Source organism: Homo sapiens, chromosome 8, assembly GCF_000001405.40.
Source record: "Homo sapiens chromosome 8, GRCh38.p14 Primary Assembly".
In the NCBI taxonomy this organism is placed as follows: Eukaryota; Metazoa; Chordata; class Mammalia; order Primates; family Hominidae; genus Homo; species Homo sapiens.
In genome coordinates, this window is record NC_000008.11 from 140,239,902 (window position 1) to 140,258,527 (window position 18,626).

Consider the following 18,626-nt stretch of genomic DNA (forward strand, 5'->3'; position numbering starts at 1 on the left):
AAATTAGTATTTATTTTCAAGAGCAGTAGCAGATGAGGACAAAGACACTGAATAACTGTCCCAATTTCAGAGTACAATAAGGGGGGAAGGGGCAAGTTATGAAAGTGAATATAATGCGTTCAAGAGCGATGGCTCTCGAATAAAATTAATTCCTGACCACAATGATAAGTGGAAGCATCCGTTATCATTAAATTGTGAAGAAGCCAAATATAATGAAATGCCAAATAGACATGTTTTTTTTTCACCCTAGTCTCCAGTTCTGCACAAAGAACTGAACTGATTCCAACTTCCCACAGGCAGTTTGTCTTTCGCCTGATAAACATGAGGCATTTCAGGCAAAAAGAACTGCATTTTTCTAGGGGGGGACAGAAGAGATTCTAATGGGAGCTCACGAAACTACTTGACCTGCTACTAAATTGTGTAATGCAAACCCAGCAGCGTCCAATGGTGACAGTGCGCAGGGGCTCCGAGGGGAGGACTGGGGAGAATTCTGACCCCCCCAGGCTACGGGATCTCCCCTACCACTGCATGTCCACATCGCCTCTTGCTCTCCAGCTCACCTGGCACACTCCTGGTTAAGACCTTCCTGCCTCAACTTCGGGTGGTTACACTTACCGCCTGCCATACACAGGTAGGTGAATCTCAGATGACACTCCCAAATCTAGCCAACTTACCTTCTTTTATTTTTTGAGTCAGGGTCTCACTCTGTCGCCCAGGTTGGCGTGCAGTGGCACAAACACAGCTCACTACAGCCTGGAACTCCTGGGCTCAAGCAATCCTCCCACCTCAGCCTCCCAAGCCCAGCTCATTTTGCTTAATTTTTTGTAGAGATGGGGTCTTGTTGCACTGACTGGCCTCCAACTCCCGGACTCAAGTGATCCTCCCACCTCTGCCTCTCAAATCACTGGGATTACAGGTGTGAGCCACTGCACCCAGCCCCACTCACCTTCTTAAAACAGAGTTTCCCATCATACCAGCCTTCTTTTAAAAAGTTGTCAGCGGCTCTCCAGTATCTTTCAATGAAGTCCAAGTTACTTCTGGAACTTCAGGCCTTCCACAGCCTACCTGGGCCTGCCATTCCCACGGGGATCCCCTCCTGCTCCTGGGTCATCTAAGCTGTCCAGACCAGCCTTTATTCAGGGCCACCCTGTCACCTGCATCCCTGCTGGTGGCATCCAGCTCATCTTTAGTCAGGACCTGTTCAAAGACCATTCAGGCCGGGTGTGGTGGCTCACACCTGTAATTCCAGCACTTTAGGAGGCCGAGGCAGGCAGATCACCTGAGGTCAGGAGTTTGAGACCAGCCTGTCCAACATGATGAAACCCTGTCTCTACTAAAAATACAAAAATTAGTTGGGCATGGTGGTGTGTCCCTGTAATCCCAGCTACTAGGGAGGAGAATCACTTGAACCCAGGAGATCACTTGAACCCAGGAAGTTGTAGTGAGCTGAGATCACACCACTGCACTCCAGCCTGGGAGACAGAGTGAGACTCCATCTCAAAAATAAAAATTGGGCCAGGCGCGGTGGCACCCGCCTGTAATCCCAGCACTTTGGGAGGCTGAGGTGGGTGAATCATGAGGTGAAGGGATCAAGACTATCCTGGCCAACATGGTGAAACCCTGTCTCTACTAAAAATACAAAAATTAGCTGGGCATGGTGGTGTGCGCCTGTAGTCCCAGCTATTCGGAAGGCTGAGACAGGAGAATCGCTTAAGCCCGGGAGGCAGAGGTTGCAGTGAGCTGAGATAGTGCTACTGCACTCCAGCCTGGCAACAGTCCGAGACTCCATCTCAAAAAAATAAAATTAAAATTAAAAAGATTTTAAAAGACCCTTCATTCAGAGTTCAGAAAGCAACACCAGATCCTCACAGCCAGACAGCTCTCCCGTCTCTGAACTCAGGGTGTGGAACACTCGGCAGCCTTCGCAGCGTGCCTTCCGTCCCTCACTTGCTTAACGTATGCCAAGAAGCTGCTCTGACCAGGCCTCACTGCATACTGGGAAAGGAGAGAGCACACGGCAGCTACGTGGGAGACTCAGGGAAGGATGAGCTCGAGCTCTGCCACCACAGGACATGGAGGGAGGGGACACTCAAGGGCTTGCAGGAGGGAGGGGCCGAGTGGGTTGGCAGAAAAAGAGAGACGGACATTCCAGGTGGAGGGAAGAGCACAGATGAAGGGCATTTCACAAAGGCCAGGGTACGGCATGCAAGGGCCCAGCAACACGAAGAGGCAGACAGAGAGAGAGAGAGAGAGAGAGAGAGAGGGAGACTGGGACCAGATTACATAGAGACTTAGACACCAAAGTGAGGAGCCCATTTGTTTTTGAGAAAACTGTAAGACACACCAGAAGATGGATTCAAGAGGGCCAGGCTAGTGACAGCGAAAGAGTTAACTAGGCTCCCGTGAAGGCTCAGATAAAACGTGTTTGGCATGTGTACCAAGGCAAAGAGGGAGAGAAGATGGAGGGATATTTAAGAGAAAGAACAGATGAGCCTTGGGGAAGAACGGATGGAACTCCAGCGGTGAGAGAACCATCTGCAACAGCCCCAGGACTCTTGCCGGCACTTCCCAGCAGATGATAATGGCTTTTGCCACCAAAGGAAACACAGAAAGGTGAGCCCGTCTGGAGAGAATGACAATCCATCAGAGTTTGAACAAGCTGAACTGGAGGTGTTTTCGGGGCTGCCAGGTGAAAAAGTCAGGAAGCCAGCTAAAAACATTGACATGGAATTCAAGACCGGAAATAGACATTTCAGAGTCATTACCATCATGTTAGAGCCTGTGAAATCATTTAGGAAAAATATAGTGTATGGTAAGTATTAAGGACAAAACTGTTAGGAACATCCATAGCTGGGGATGCAGCAGTGAAGCAGAGTCGGGAACAGTCAGTGTGGCACGGCACGGGCCAGGGGAGGGAAGCTCCCCACCTACAGGAGGACTGGCCAGTCACTGGCGTCTCCCAAGGATGAGTAAGTGGCAACCACGGAGGGGGAGGGAGGTTAAAAGCCTGATTTCAATGGCGGAAAAGTACAAGAAGGATGAAAAAGTGAAGGGGAAAGAGTAAGGAGTAGCCAGAGAGAAACCCATGGTTTAGAAGAGGATTTGGGCATATCGGCTGAGGGACTGGTACAAAACTGCTCAAAGCTTAGTGCGCAGAACCCCCCAGAGAATGGGTCAGAAACACAGATCGCAGCCCAGCGCCCACAGAAAGGGATGTCGAAGAGCTGGGTGGGCCGAGGAATCTGCGTTTTAGCAAAGACACTTTGATGCAGGTGGTCCATGGGCCGTGACCTACAAAAACAAGGGCAAGTTCAAAAGACCAAAGAGAAAGGATACCTGATCCGGAACACAAGTCAGACGATTCACCTCTGATGAGAGGAGGAGCCCATCTTCCTCTACAACGAAACAGATGGGAAAAACAAGTGTATCCCAGAGGAAAGAGGGGAAGCAGAGAAGGTTTCTGCCTGATGGCCTCTGTGGATCTTTGAAAAGAGACCATGTGCTGAGAGGAAGGGATACAAGAGTGGGGAAAAGCCTTAAAAAAAGTGGCATGTTGACAACAGCTGAAACTAGGCACACACTTGCCCCTGTGTTTTGATGAATGAATGTTTAGTGGGAGAGCCCTATGATACAGATAAGCATATTTTCCCCATGGTGTTCAAATTCATGGGATAAAATGGGCACTACTCACCAAAGTCAACCTGTCCCCTTCTCAAGATACAAAAGCAGCAGATGACTTAAAGGACCAGGTTTGCCGCCCACTCTCTATTACCCTCCTCTCTGACAAAGACAGGAAGATTCCTTACATGAACTGCTATCATATCCCCATTTTTGAAAAAAGCAAGTCTCCATTTGTCCACCAGAATTGTGACATTCACTTCCCAGCAAACCAGAAGTTTATAGGTACCACAAAGATGGACCTAGAAATACTGTTCTGTTTGTTCCCTAAGGCGGGGGCCCGCAACCCCTGGTGGCCTGTTAGGAACTGAGCCGCACAGCAGGAGGTGGGTGGCAGCCTAGCGAGCTTTGCAGCCTGAGCTCTGCCTCCCGTCAGCTCAGCAGCGGCCTCAGGTTCTCACAGGAGTGCAAACTCTATTGTGACCTGTGCACACCAAGGATCTAGGTTGCACGCTCCTTATGAGAATCTAATGCCTGATGATCTGAGGTGGAAGAGTTTCAACCCAAAACCATCCCCTTGCCACCATGGTCCGCAGAAAAACTGTCTTCCACAAAACTGGTCCTTGGTGCCAAAGAGGTTGGGGACCGCTGCCCAAAGGGAAGGAAGGAGTGGATAACAGCAGGACAAGCTCCGCAGCAGGCAGGGCCCCTGGTGCTGCTGTGTGAGGCCTTAGACAAATCATTCCACCTTCCTGGGACTCAGGTTCCTGTTCTGTCAACCAAATTGATTAGCTGACATCTACCGTCTCGTCTCATTCTGTGATACTAGGGATCACTATTTCCCATACTGAAACTGAAATGCCACAGTTAATTATCATGTCTAACAGAAACTGTCAGCAGGGAAAGTTGACATTTCTCTTACAAAACCAAAAGCCAAAAAGTACACAGAGAAAGAAAACCAAATTAAATAATTAATTAATTGAAAAGGAAACCAAAGCAGGTGATGCTTTCATCCCACCGTCAAGAAACGGCAACCCAAAGGCAGTTTTCATGTGACACATCAATCCCAATAAAATCAAAACACTAATTTATCAATCTTCCCGACAGCTCCCTGTGCTCAAACATGTCCCTCAGACAAAGAGGGCACGTGCAGCAGCCTGGCTCGATCTTCTGGATAATTCCTTCATGAAAACCTTCTTGGATAAAATAATTTTTCAATCTCATCAGATGACAAAGCTGTCTGTTACGCAGAAGTATTATTACTAAGGTGTTTCCAATTCCTTTTTTTTTTTTTTTTTTTTTTTTTGAGACAGAGTTTCGCTCTGACACCAGGCTGGAGTGCAGTGGCGCAATCTCGGCTCACTGCAATCTCTGCTTTCTGGGTTCAAGCGATTATCCTGCCTCAGCCTCCCGAGTACCTGGGATTAAGGTGCACGCCACCACACCAAGCTAATTTTTGTATTTTTAGTAGAGACGGGGTTTCACCATGTTGGCCAGGATGGTCTCGATCTCCTGACCCCATGATTCACCCGCCTCAGCCTCCCAAAGTGCTGGGATTACAGGCACGAGCCACCGCGCCTGGCCTCTTCTTTTAAAAAACACTTTATTGTGAAATACAACACTGATTGACAAAACCACCAAAAATAAAGGTATCACTTAATGAATTATTATGAAGCAAACACCCTAGAAAACACGACACAGGTCCAGAAGCAGAATTTTACCAGCCCCCTAGAAGCCCTCGATTTGCCCATCCCAATGCTGACGTCCTCCCTCGCCCACAGGGCCCACCACCCAGACTTTGTGCTAGTCACTGCCTTGCTTCTCTTTGCCATTTTACCACGTAAGCATGCAGCAATGAAACTACAGTTTAGCTGTGCCTGTTTTTAAATGCGTCATTTAACTCTCTCTTAAACTACAGATAGCCTTTTCATCTCTTTGTTTTGTGGTGTGTGTGTGTGTGTGTGTGTGTGTGTCTGTAAAATACACATAATTTAAAGTTTACCACTTTAACCATTTTTAAATGTACGGGGTCAGCAGCATTAAGCACATTCACACTGTTGTACAATCATCACCATCATCTATCTCCAGAACTTCATGCCTTTTTCCCCCTGATAATTTACTTGTTGAGAGAACCAATTCATGGACTGCAGGGTTTCCTGGAGTCTGGACTGCCAACTGTGTCCCCGTGGTGTAGTTTAACAAGTTTTTCTGCCTTCTGAAGTCCTGTAAATTAGCAGTTAGAGCCAGAGCGCTGATCAGCCTCAGGTGTGATTCTGGGACACTGCTAATTCACAGAAGGTGCTGTGTTCTCCCAGCAGGAGGAACATAATGTGTGGTTGTCTCTTATTTTGTTATGTGGATGCTTACTGTCTCGACTCATTAATCTATTAGGGATGGCAAAATGATGATATCCGAATTCTATCCTCCTTATCTCCATTGTTAGCCCAAATACTTCTATAAAGAGAGACTCCCCTCATCAACTGGTATTAGATCGTCCAATCGCGCAGTCTACATGAAAAGGCAGAATAAATACTCATTGCTTACCATTTTCAAAATGATAAATCACTTCCCCATCATTTTCCAAGGGCGAACAATTCTCTCAAGTAGCATTGAGAACTCATGGACTGAAACACAGTTCGCATCTTTACTGATGCTCAAATTGCCAGTGGTCACTTCTTCAGGCGGAGCCCTTCAACACAACCTCAATGCTCTCTAATCACTCCTTTGCTGCAAGTTTGACAAGATGGTCCAAGATCACCTTCCTGCTCTGTTTCCTGCTCCACATCTAGAACTGGTTATTTTTCTCTGAGTGAGAAAGTGTGTTTCAAGACCAGGAGGTGGGCATTAGGAATGCTCACTGCTGCTGGACTGGTCCGTTTCTAGACTCGGACACTGTACAAGGCTAGGAGATTGATAGCTTTTCAAATAGTTCATGATTTCTTGCTATTTTTTATTCAAATTCTAAACTACAAGGTTTTTACTTAACTTCATATCTGACATCAGTTACTTCCTGTCTTCCATATGAGAACCCTAGTTCAAAACTAGATTCAGATGATAGAATGAGATTATCACAGAATTAATCATTTACTTTACCCTACACTGATACCTAGTTTCAGAATATGAGTACTAACACTATCTCTACCAAAACAATTACAGAGAACAGTTTAAAAATTACTTTTGGGGCCGGGCATGGTGGCTCACACTTGTAATCGCCCAGCACTTTGGGAGGCCGAGGCGGGCGGATCACCTGAGGTCAGGAGTTTGAGACCAGCCTGGCCAACGTGGTGAAACCCCGTCTCTCCTAAAAATACAAAAATTACCCAGGTGTGGTGGCATACGCATGTAGTCCCAGCTACTTGGGAGGCTGAGGCAGGAGAATCACTTGAACCCGGGAAGAGGAGGTGGCAGTGAGCTGAGATCGTGCCACTGCACTCTAGCCCGGGCGATAGAGCCAGACTTTGTCTCAAAAAAAAAAAATTACTTTTGCATATGACTTCCCATGCTCCCCCCATGTTTTAAATTATTGTGATGGATACTGTAAGAGCAGATTACCATGACATACTATCTTCTCCCTTTGAATGCTCATTTGGTCTTAGCTATACAAGCAACGATATGTTTAATGTTCACCACAAGTCCTTATGACAACGTCTCTCTAGTTACTTTGGCTGTGCTTCCCTAGTAGAATCCTCAAGAAATCATGAGAATTTAATTCTTCCAGTCTTGCGTGTTGACAACAATTTGTCTAAGCCCTGTATACCTAAAAGTTAGTGTGGCTGTGCCTACAAATCTCTGGCTTAAATTTTCATTACATGAGTAGCTAGACATAGTCTAGATACATGCTATTCTATTGGCTTCTGGAATACTGCTGCTGTCAAAAAGTCCAATGATAATCTGATTTTCTTTATTTCATAAATCACTTGCTATCTGGGTCTAAAAGCCCAAAAGACTTTAAGTCCAGTAATATAACTAGAATATGTCCCGCTCATTCTAAGTCAAGATTCTCATGTATACAGTGTACCCATTCATGCAACAGTTTCAAGGGTTTTTTTTTTTAATTACAGAAAGTTTTCTGTGAATTATAGTTTTTAACATGTTGTGGTTCCATTGTTTCCGTTTCCTTCTCTGGTGTCTCATAGCAGATATATGTATGTATATATGTATGCATGCATGCATGTACGTTAGATCTTCTTTGCCTAGCTTCTAAGTGTGTCACTTTCTCTTTAATCATCTTTCTCTCGATTCTTTTTTCTTCTCTCTTTTCATCTTCTGCTTCCCTTAATGTATCTGGCAGGTATATATAACTCACTAGAAACTACAATGCTGGAAAAAAAAATTTATTCTATTACAAATTCTTTCCTGAGTTATATCCATCTCATCTCTGAGTTTTTCTCATTCAGATTTATGTTATTCTTTTGTACTTCTTCTTCATGTCTTTTAGCTCATTATGGGTTTTTGTAATTTTTATCAGCTTCTGAGCACGTTCTTCTATGTTATCTCGCTGCTTATGTTTTCACTAGAATCACTCTGCATAGAGTTTGGCCATGATCCTTTTCTGTTGACCATCTTTACATGAAACTAGTTTTCATGAATGTTTAGGAGAAATGATTCAGGATAGCTCTTCTAATTCTAGTAAATCTACACACTGTATTCTGTGTTTGGGGGTGGTACTCAAGAATATAAGAAATTACTTTCTAGACCACTTAACTCTGTTCTCCTCCCCTAGTTTCAGCCAGATCTTCTCTTTCCTTGCTTCTGCTATCCCACCTCTGTTCCCAGCAGCTTCTCCACAGGTGAGGCTTTGTTCTAGAGGAATTATTTGCACTCATCTGCTACTGGAACATACAAACTCCTCCACATTTCAGCTGCTGTTCTCAACTTGGCCCACTGAGCTGCCCAATGAGTACCTGCTGGCTGTGTGGGGATTCCTGGGTGTGTGTGTTTCCGGCTTCCTCTTGTGCAGACGGTGAAACCGTGTTGTTATTAGTGGTTTGTCCACATCTACTTATATTTTGGGGTCCGTGGGGATACTCTGGTAACTGGTTTTGCTATATATTTTTGCCTATGGGTATTTGGTTTTTCTATTCTAGTTGTTCAGTCTGTTTGACTGAATAGTTCATATATTCAAAACCTAAGACAGTTTGCCACCATCTTCCAGGACTTCTAATTTTAAACATAAAATTCCAAGAAATCAGAGATTTCAAGTATTATAAGGATCATAGGAAAAGAATATACTATTTTGTGGGTGAAAAGTTGACTTCTCTTACCCTAGGCTAGTTATATGAAGAAGATAGATATCTGCCAAGAATTTGAAGATAAGGTAAATAATTTGCTTTCTGATGTTTCATTTAGAAACAATTTCTAAAATTCACTTAGAAATCAAAATAATACATCCAAACAGTGCTCTACAAAATCTTTTTCTTGTTACTATTTTGAAAAATATCGAGCCTACAGAAAAGTCACAAGAAATGAAGATCTATATCTCTTTATCTAAAGCCAACTTTTTTTTGTAATTTCAACTTTTATTTTAGATTTAGCGGGTACGTGTTCAGGTTTGTTACATGAGTATACTGTGTGATGCTGAGGTTTGGGAAATGAGTGATTCTGTCATCCGGACAGTGAGCGTGCTGCCCAACAACTGGTTTTTCCCTCCCTGACCCCTCACTCCCTGCCTTCTCGAGTAGCCCCCGTGTCTGTTGCTGCCACCTTTATGTCTGTGAGGACTCAATGCATACCTCCCACTTATATGTGAGAATATGCTGTATTTGCTTTTCTATTCCTGCATTCATTGGTTTAGGATAATGGCTTCCAGATGCATCCACGTTGCTGCAAAGGCCATGATTTCATTCTGTTCTATGGCTGCATAGTCTTCCAGGGTGTATATGTACCACATTTTCTTTATCCAATTCACTACTGATGGCCACTTAGGTCGATTCCACATATTTGGTATTGTAAATAGTTAAAGACACTTCTTTTTAATAATTTGACATTTTTACTTTATTTCTCTCTAGATTCACATTCACACTGTATTTTTTTTCCTTCACCCTATTAAAGTAAGTGCAGGCAAATCATCTTTCACTCTTTTTTTTTTTTTTTTTTTTTTTTGAGATGGAGTCTCGCTCTGTCACCCAGGCTGGAGGGCAGTGGCGCGATCTCGGCTCACTGCAAGCTCCGCCTCCCGGGTTCACGCCATTCTCCCACCTCAGCCTCCCAAGTAGCTGGGACTACAGGCACCCGCCACCACGCCCGGCTAATTTTTGTTTTTGTATTTTTAGTAGAGACGGGGTTTCACCATGTTAGCCAGGATGGTCTCAATCTCCTGACCTCGTGATCCGCCCACCTCGGCCTCCCAAAGTGCTGGGATTACAGGCGTGAGCCACCGTGCCTGGCCTGATCTTTCACTCTTAAATGCTTCTGCATTTATTTCCTAAGAACAAGAATTTTCTGCTACAATTTCAATTTCATTATCATACTCGATATATTTGTCATTGATACAATAATATTATAGTATTCAATTTCTTCAATTGTCCCAAAACAAAGTCTTCTTTTTTAAATCCAGGATACAATTAAGGATCATGCACGGCATTTGATTGTTACAGCTCTTCAATCTCCTTTAATCTAGAACATTCTTCCCACTTGCGTTTATAAAATGGGAATTACAACATTTACTTTATAGAGTTTTTACAAAGATTAAATAGAAATAATGCCAGAAAAAAAGTGGCTAGCCCAGTCTTTATACACAACATGTGACAATGCTCAGTAAACATTAATTATCTTCCAGCTATCTATGGCCGACACTGAATCCAGGATCCCGGTTTGTGCAACAGCTATCCAGGTTGCTGTGAATTTTTTAAGCGTCATTTAACTTCAGTAACCATAATTAATGCGAGTCCATGCCTGAGAATCAAATTGGATCCACACGTGGTCCCCCATTAGATGTCTCTGAGAATGTTAGACTGTGAGCTACAGGGGGTCGTCTCCCAGTTCCCAGAGGCCACAAATGAGCCTCTGCCACTGAGTTCACAGCCACTTCACATAAGGGCGCCGTGATTGTCTCGTGCTTCCTCAGACTGAACTGCACGTAACAAGGCAGCCTCCATGGACCAAGCTCTGGGTGGTTCTTCGTGCCTACCTTTTCCTCCATAAAACTTGACCTGGTTTCCTGGTTTTTCTAAGGTAAAACTTACCTTAGAGATTTGCTGTCTCTTTCTGCCACATACTATGTAAACAACCAGCCAGAGCTTCTATTAACTGTTATTAATAAAGGGGGCATCTCATGAGTAACCACTACGTGCCATGACCAGCAATCAGGCCAGCCTCACATTTACAAACCACCTGGTGACCATAATTCAAGGCCTGATTTGGTTTTGTTTTAAAAGATAGAAGAAGGTATTCCCAGGCTACAAGTCCCAAATTGCAATTTTGCTCAATTTTTCTCTCTGACCTTAGAAGGGCAGAGAGACTGCCCTAGTCCCCTCTATAACAAAAGGCAGAAGCACAGTCATAACAGGACAAAATAGGTCTGCACTGAACATGCAAATTCAAACAACCAAGCACAAAAAGCCAAGCCTTCCACATGGAAGCCTTCCACACTGTTCCTCAGGAATAAGACGACCCTGGCAGGCCATGGGAGAAACCACGGTCACCATTCCCTCACTGCTAGCCTGGAGTCCACGTGCCAAGACATAGCCCTGGGGTAATATCCAGTCCCAAGTGTTCCAGGGGCAGGTGCTGGGCACCATTTATTCTGCCAAACCCCCTTCTTGGGAAGAAGAAGTCAGAACCTATGTAACCCTCTGTCTACTGATTAAAAAGAAAAAATGCAGTTCAGCGGGATAAAGCCGTTTACACACCAACCAAAAAAATCCGTGTCATCAGACATTTTTAAGTCTTGGTATAATTTGAAATCCTCTCAACTTTTTTCATTTTCTAATGTATCCAACCCTAAATCTGTTTTTCTACATTTGTTAATAATATAAAAAGAATATTTTACCAAATACCAGCACTATACAAGAAGCTCATGCTGACTATTTGAACTGCAGAGGGTGCAGACAGCAAACTCTATGGAGGGCGTCTGTTAGGGACTGAGCTGCGTCCCCCTTCCCCAGCTGCATCTACTGAAGGCCTATCCCCCAGTGGGACAGCTTTAGGAGGTGGGGCCTTTGGGAGGTAATTAGGGTTAGATGAAGCAATGGAGATGGAGCCCCCTCTATGAGATGAGTGCCCTTGTAAGAAGGGGTGGACACCAGAGCTCCCTCTCTCCTCCACGTGGAGACGCAGCACGAAGGTGGCCATCTGCAAGCCAGGAAGAGGGCCCTCCCTCACCAGAAAATCACCACGGCTGACAGTCTGATCTCAGACTCCCAGTCTCCAGAGCTATGAGGAAATAAATCTTGGTTGTTTAAGCTGTTCTGTCTGTGGTATTTTGTTAGGGGAGCCTGAGTTGACTGAAAGACTCCACACTGCCTCCAAATGAATGCTTCATAATTTGGCATAATTAATTTATGAAATCTTTTTTTTTTTTTTGAGATGGAGTCTCACTGTGTTGCCCAGGCTGGAGTGCAGTGGCGTGATCTCGACTCACTGCAACCTCCGCCTCCCAGGTTCAAGCGATTCTCCTGCCCTCAGCCTCCTGAGTAGCTGGGATTACAGGCATGCGCCACCATGCCCGACGAATTTTTGTATTGTTAATAGAGACAGGATTTCACCATGTTGTCCAGGCTGGTCTGAAAGTCCTGGCCTCAGGTGATCCGCCCGCCCTGGCCTCCCAGAGTGCTGAGATTATAGGTGTGAGCCATCACACCCAGCCAATCTATGAAATCTTATCTCTAATCAGTCCTAATGTTACAACAAATATAAATTTCCATTTCTTCCACACTCCACCTCCTTATAGATATCATCAGACTTTGAAGGAAAACTTTATCATCACAGCTAATTAGATGTCTAAAGAATCACAGCAGTTATACTTGAAAAAACGCAGTAATTCCTACATTCCACTAATTTAGAATGACCTGCTGGTAAATGAGTACAAAATAATAAAGAGTGAGAATTAAATCATTTAGATAAAAAGTACTTTTATTACTTTCAGACACATACAGTAACACACTCTGTTAACAAAGTGCCCAGGAGATGTCTCAGGCAGCTTGAGTTAATGAATGACAAGTGAGTTACAAACAGCAAACAGCAGGCATCAAGGGATGGGGGTTGCTACACAGTATCTAGGACCCTGACGTGCTAATTAAAATTAGGAAAGCGCTTACCATCACTGAGATCCTGCAGGAGATTCTCCTGGCAGGAGAAATCCAGCTTCACTTTGATGTTGATTGTGAACGTGGCCACCTTCCCAGGCTGCAAAGGGAACTGGGCAAGGGTTTCCTCTAGCTTCCAGCTCAAGAAGTCGCCATACAATTTTTCTGTAATAATAACAATGACAGTGATGAGGATGCTGTAACTGAGGCAGTATGGGACTTACCAATCCCCTAGAAAATTCTGATGCATTCTCAAAAGCCAAGGAAAAAGAAGAGCTTTTAAAATGTGTAAGATCAAAGTGACAAGAACATTCCAGAACCAAGAAGTGTTGCAAGGCAATCACCCCTGTTTATGAAGGAGGCACAGGGAGGAGGAAGAACTGCTCATCTCTAGAGGCACCGAGCTCAAGCCAAGCCATCTTGACGCCTTAGTGAGCAACTCCTTCTCATTGACCAAATAAATGCCGTTTTGCTCTTATAAACTAAATCAGAGTTAAACTAAATTTCTCCACAATGAATATTTTCTGTATTATATCACCTTAAAGAGAAACAGATCCAAGTGTAGTAGGGAAAGTGTATATTTAATATGAGACACCTCTTCACAAAAAGAGAATAAAAAATCAAAACCCAAGCAGGACGCTGTGGCTCACACTTATAATCCCAGCACTTTGAAAGGCTGAGGCAGGGTGAATCACTTGAGATCAGGAGTTCCAGTCCAGCCTGGACAACATGGTGAAACCCCATCTCTACAAAAAAATACAAAATTTAGCCAGTGTGGCAGCGCGCCTCTGTAATCCCAGCTACTCGGGAGGCTGAGGCAGGAGAATCGCTTGAACCCGGCAGGCAGAGGTTGCAATGAGCCAAGATCATGCCACTGCACTCCAGCCTGGGCAACAGAGCAAGACTCCATCTCAAAAGAAAAAAAAAACATCAAATCAAAGAATTAAGGACGGCACCTTGGGAAGGGCCTCCGGGGAGAGGTGTTTCCCTTGCTTTCTGGCAAATACACCATGGTCTTTAATAAAAAGTCTTGAATGTTAGAGTCACATGGCCTTGACTTTGGTGCCTTTTTGACACTGACTAACTCGAGTGCCATGGAGAATAATGATCCCTTGGAGTCAAGGTTTCTTCGTGTGTAAAATGGGGATAACAATTACTGCACCACAGGGTTATTTTACAGATTCAATAAAGTACTATCTGTAAAAGCACCAAGAAGACCACAGCACTGTAAGAACCTCAGGCAACACGGGAGGAAGGGGGACAGGAAGGGGACATGGGGAGGCCACTGCTGGTGCCCGCTGAAGTAGCTGCGTCTCTCCACGGCTCCAGTTCCTAAAACCCAGGCACAGTATGATATGCTGCCTTGACATCCGGCAAAACTGGGAGGGCCCCAAACGGCCTCACCACAAGTCCCCTCCTGACTCTGCTCCTGCAGATACAGGGTCCCTCAGCCAGGCAGGTTTCCAGGTGCGGAAAGCAGGTGCAGCCCTGTGTATCCTGGGCAGTGGGTGTCAGTTCCCTGCCAGCCTGGAAGGGACTGAAATAAGCCAGTCACATCCTCCCTGGGGAGCCGGGGGCAGCCCTCCCTCTCCATACCCCAAAGCCCGCCTCCCCCAGCCCCTGGGCAGCTGCTCTCTCTGTTCCTGAGTGCAGCCCACATGGCCCTACGTGGCATGGTATCCTCCTTCCCCAGCTGTGAGTGTCTGTGACCAATGAACTGCTGTCAGGTGCACATGCCCTGTGCACATGCTAGGTCTCTGGCTGTCCCCACATGGTAGAACAAGAAACCCTCCTGACCAACACAGGGGACAGGAAGCCATGAGCACGGGGCCCTCCTCCTCCCAGGAAGGGCCCAGCTTCCAGGCTCTGCAAAGGTCCTCCTCCTGGTGCCCCTCCAGCCTAGGAGGCAGGAGCGACTTGCTGTTTTCCCACTATCCCCTTTCTGGGAACCAGTTTTTTATGCTGAACGTCTTCGGTCTGAATAAGGAGACGGTTTTAGAGAGATGAAGTAACTTATCCATGGTCACCAACTATGGAATCAGTCTAGAATCCTAGATCCAAATGATTCCAAAGTCACATTCACTTCCTGCATGAAGACATTTCATGGTGAAGTTCAAATGTAAAGTCCTGGTCGGAAGACCCAGAAGTGAACCTCACAGGAGCTCAGGGGAAGACGGAGAGCTTGACCAAAATCCCCATGAAAGAAAAAAGATACGTGGTGTGCTAACTCCAGAACACGAGGACAAACTGAGCTGCAAAATAAGCAGACATATTCCTGGCCGGAGGTGTGCTCGACCATGGCACGGTCCTGCAGAACTGGCCAAGCTCCCTCTGGAGCACGTCTGACAGACGGCGTTTATGTCTCCATGTTTCCTTAAAGAAGGATACTAACACAGAGAGACAGATCCAGGGGACAGCGTCCTTGAAAAGTGTTTAGAAACCACATCACATTCATTTATTTACTTAGTCATTCACAGAACACCTCAAATGTGCCAGACACTCCACGTGTTACCTCACTTAATCCTCCCAACAACCAGTGAAATCATGGAAGGAGGTTAGCATATGTAACAGGTCATTCAGCTGTCAGTGGAAGACTTGGCATATTATACATGTTTGATAAATATTAGCTGCCCTTCAGCATCACCCAGTCCACCACCTTGGATGGTGTTCAGATGCTTTGCAAACTGATACTATCACAGTATTTTAGAATGATCTGGGAAAAGACAGATGGCTGGGAAAAGGATGATGGAATCGTTGAGCAGGCTGGTTCCTGGAAAGTCAACTTTAACGACAGTCTGAGGAATGAATCCCTACATTCAGATGATTTCGAGAAGCTGTGGACCGGGCGCAGTGACTCACACCTGTAATCCCAGCACTTTGGGAGGCCAAGGCGGGCAGATCACCTGAGGCCAGGCGTTCGAGGCCAGCCTGGGCAACAGGGTGAAACCCTGTCTCTACTAAAAATACAAAAATTAGCTGGGCATGGTGGCGCACACCTGTAGTCCTGGCTATTCAGGAGCCCAAGGCATGAGAGTCACTTGACCCAGGGAGGTGGAGGTTGCAGTGAGTCAAGGTCGCGCCACTACACTCCAGCCTGGGCAACAAAGCGAGACTCCGTCCCCAAAACAGAAGAAGCTGTGGCTGTTGGATGAGATTCTTATAGGAATTTAGTGAAAGGGAAATGGAGAATTGGAGGAAAGTATTATCCAAAACTCAAAGTGGGAGATGGAATGGGTCAACAAGAATCACCTAAAGTCAAAGAAAGTGAATCATATCCAATTATAGCCACTCTAATTACAGGATAAAAATCTAAACACTTCAGTCAAGCTTTGGGGGCAAAGGGTACAAAACACTGGTCGCTTTGGTATTTCATGATGACAACAGGCTACTGAATTCTCTGTCTGGAAACCCGCTTCAACACACAACATTTGGCCCTTGGCTGCTCAGGGGAATGTGTGGATACTCACATATATGATTTATCCTTTAGACGGTAAGTCACTCAGTCAGAGAAAGAACAAAGATCTGTCTCCAAATGGGAAAAGAACTTCAAAGCCATCTTACAGGTGAGAAAGCAGAAGGAAAAGGAGAGTCTGACACAAAATCACATCATCAATTGGGTCGCAGCTTTCTTCCCACTCCTTCAGAAGGGTTCTGACGACATCTTGGCTCATTAGTAAGGAAGGTAACTGACTTTCTTCCTTCCCACCTGCTCTCTCAAGCCATGCCAGTTCTCTGCCTACTCGATGTGACCTCCTCCACGCAGGACCCCCGGGCAGGCCCACCTGCTTCCGCTTGGTTGCCATTCTATGTGTATTCTGAGAATCTACCCTCCCACAAGACGCTGGAGTTCCTTTCCACTGTGCTCTTCTGTAGGTGCCGACACATCTGTGGGCAGCTGCAGAAGCTGTGGTTAAACACAACTGAAACTACAGGCCTGGGTTCAAACCCCAGATCCCCACCTTCCTAGCTTGCCATTGGCTGTGTTACTTTTCTGGGGTCTCAGCTTCCCCTTCTTTTACAAGTAAAGCAGGGAGAAATACCTGTACCTACTTTCTAGGGCTGCTGTGAGGGTTAGCGGGTTTAAAACATATAGAGTACTTAGGACAGGGCACGGTGCCCAGTGAGTCTCAGTTAAGTGTTTGCTCTTATAATTATTCAGGTTTGGCAAGAACACCACCACCAATGATGGGGGCTCGTAGCCTTCCATGTCTACTACTTCCTGCTACTTCCATTACAGAACAGTCCCAGTAAGTGTTCAGGTGTCTGAGCTCTCCCTCTGTGCCAGGCACTGTCTGAAGTTCATATGCTAAGGCCAGAGGAGGCATGAGTCTCCGCCATAGTGCAGAGTAGTTAGCTTACAGCATACCCTTAGCTCCTCCCAAAATCTCCATATGCCAGCATTATCCACATCATATGAATGAGCAAACTAGAGTTCAGAGAGATCAAGCAGCTTTCCTAAGGGTACAAAGCTAGGATGTCCCAGAGTCAAGAGGTGAACCCTGGCCCTCACACCCATTCACCGTGCCTCAGTCCTCTGGCAGCTCAGAACGCAGTTGCTGCCTCTTCTCCACGCAGCAGTGCTGGCACTGGCCTGGGCCTCTTCTGCGCTGAGCCAACCTGTCCACCTTCCTTCTACTTCTCCTCCAATGGCACTCGGAGGTGCCATCCTGACGACACTACTTTAGACCCACCTTGGTTTGAAAAGAAGCCTCCCCAGACAGGAGCCCAGGAGTGGGAAAAAGGACCCCGTGCCATGCGAGCGCACAGGGGAGGGAGGAAAGAAGCACACGTCCTTTCAGAAGTTGACATCTGGTGACACCTCCAATAGACTCCTAGCATGGGGGGTCCCTGAATATGCCGAATGCTTTCTTAAGTCCAGAACTCTGCCCCATCGTGTGCCTACTACTGGAAATGTCTTCCCCTACCTTCTCTGCCTGGCTGGATTTTCTAGAGCTTTTTAATACCCAGGTCCAGGGTATCTACTCAGATATGCAACCATCCCAGCCCTTGTTCTTAGGCTGGAAGCCCTCCCGCCATGCCTGCAAACACCTGCACATGCCTCCAGGACAGGCTCCAGCACTCTGCACCCAACTGTGTGAGCTGATCTTTCTGTTTGTAGCTCTCACTGGGATGTGCATGTGAGGAGAACTGCATCACTGTCCTTTGGCAAAGTAAGTAGTCATTCTTCAGATAAATATTTATTGAGTGTCTCCTGTGTGTCAAGCTCTGTAGCAAGCACAAAAAAACACACCAGTGGGCAAACAGGCCAGTGACCGCTCTCCCAGGGCTCATGGTCTGACAGAGGAGGCAGAAATTAGGCAGAAAACTAGACACAAGACAACAAAGTATGTCATGACCAGGTCAGTCTGTCTTGGGTACACGACAGCACACGACAGACAAGTCTGGAGGGCCAGAGAAACTCCCCGGAGAGACCGCCATTCAGACACGGCCTGAGGGAGCAGGAGGGCTTGGGCAGGTTCAAAAGAGGGAGGGTGACCCTGTGCGACTAATTCTGGACTTGTTCTCCGCGTTCACACGCTCCCTGGCACAAGTAATGGATTTGACATTTCACTCAAAACTCCTCACACACACGGCTGTTGCCATCTTCTTCCTCTATAATAATCTATAGAACATAAAGATTTTAGATGTTTGCTGATAATTCTTTTGTTCTTGAAGCACATGGCACTAACCTAGTCTGGAAACACAATTAAACTTTACAAATTTTCCTGATCTCTCACCTAAACTGCACTCCAGAAATTCAAA

At 45.8% G+C, this 18,626-nt stretch overlaps 1 protein-coding gene across 18 annotated transcripts in view; it reads right to left on the bottom strand.

Moving 5' to 3' along the window:
- TRAPPC9 (trafficking protein particle complex subunit 9) overlaps window positions 1–18,626 on the bottom strand; it is a 730,855-nt gene that overhangs the window by 512,177 nt on the left and 200,052 nt on the right. For all 18 annotated transcript variants that reach the window (NR_164662.1, XM_011517326.3, NM_031466.8 and 15 more), the window contains one exon: window positions 12,876–13,028. Coding sequence is in view for 17 of the 18 variants with exons in the window: in XM_011517326.3 (XP_011515628.1) it covers window positions 12,876–13,028 (153 nt within the window). In the remaining variant the exon portion in view is untranslated. The remainder of the gene's footprint in view (window positions 1–12,875; window positions 13,029–18,626) is intronic.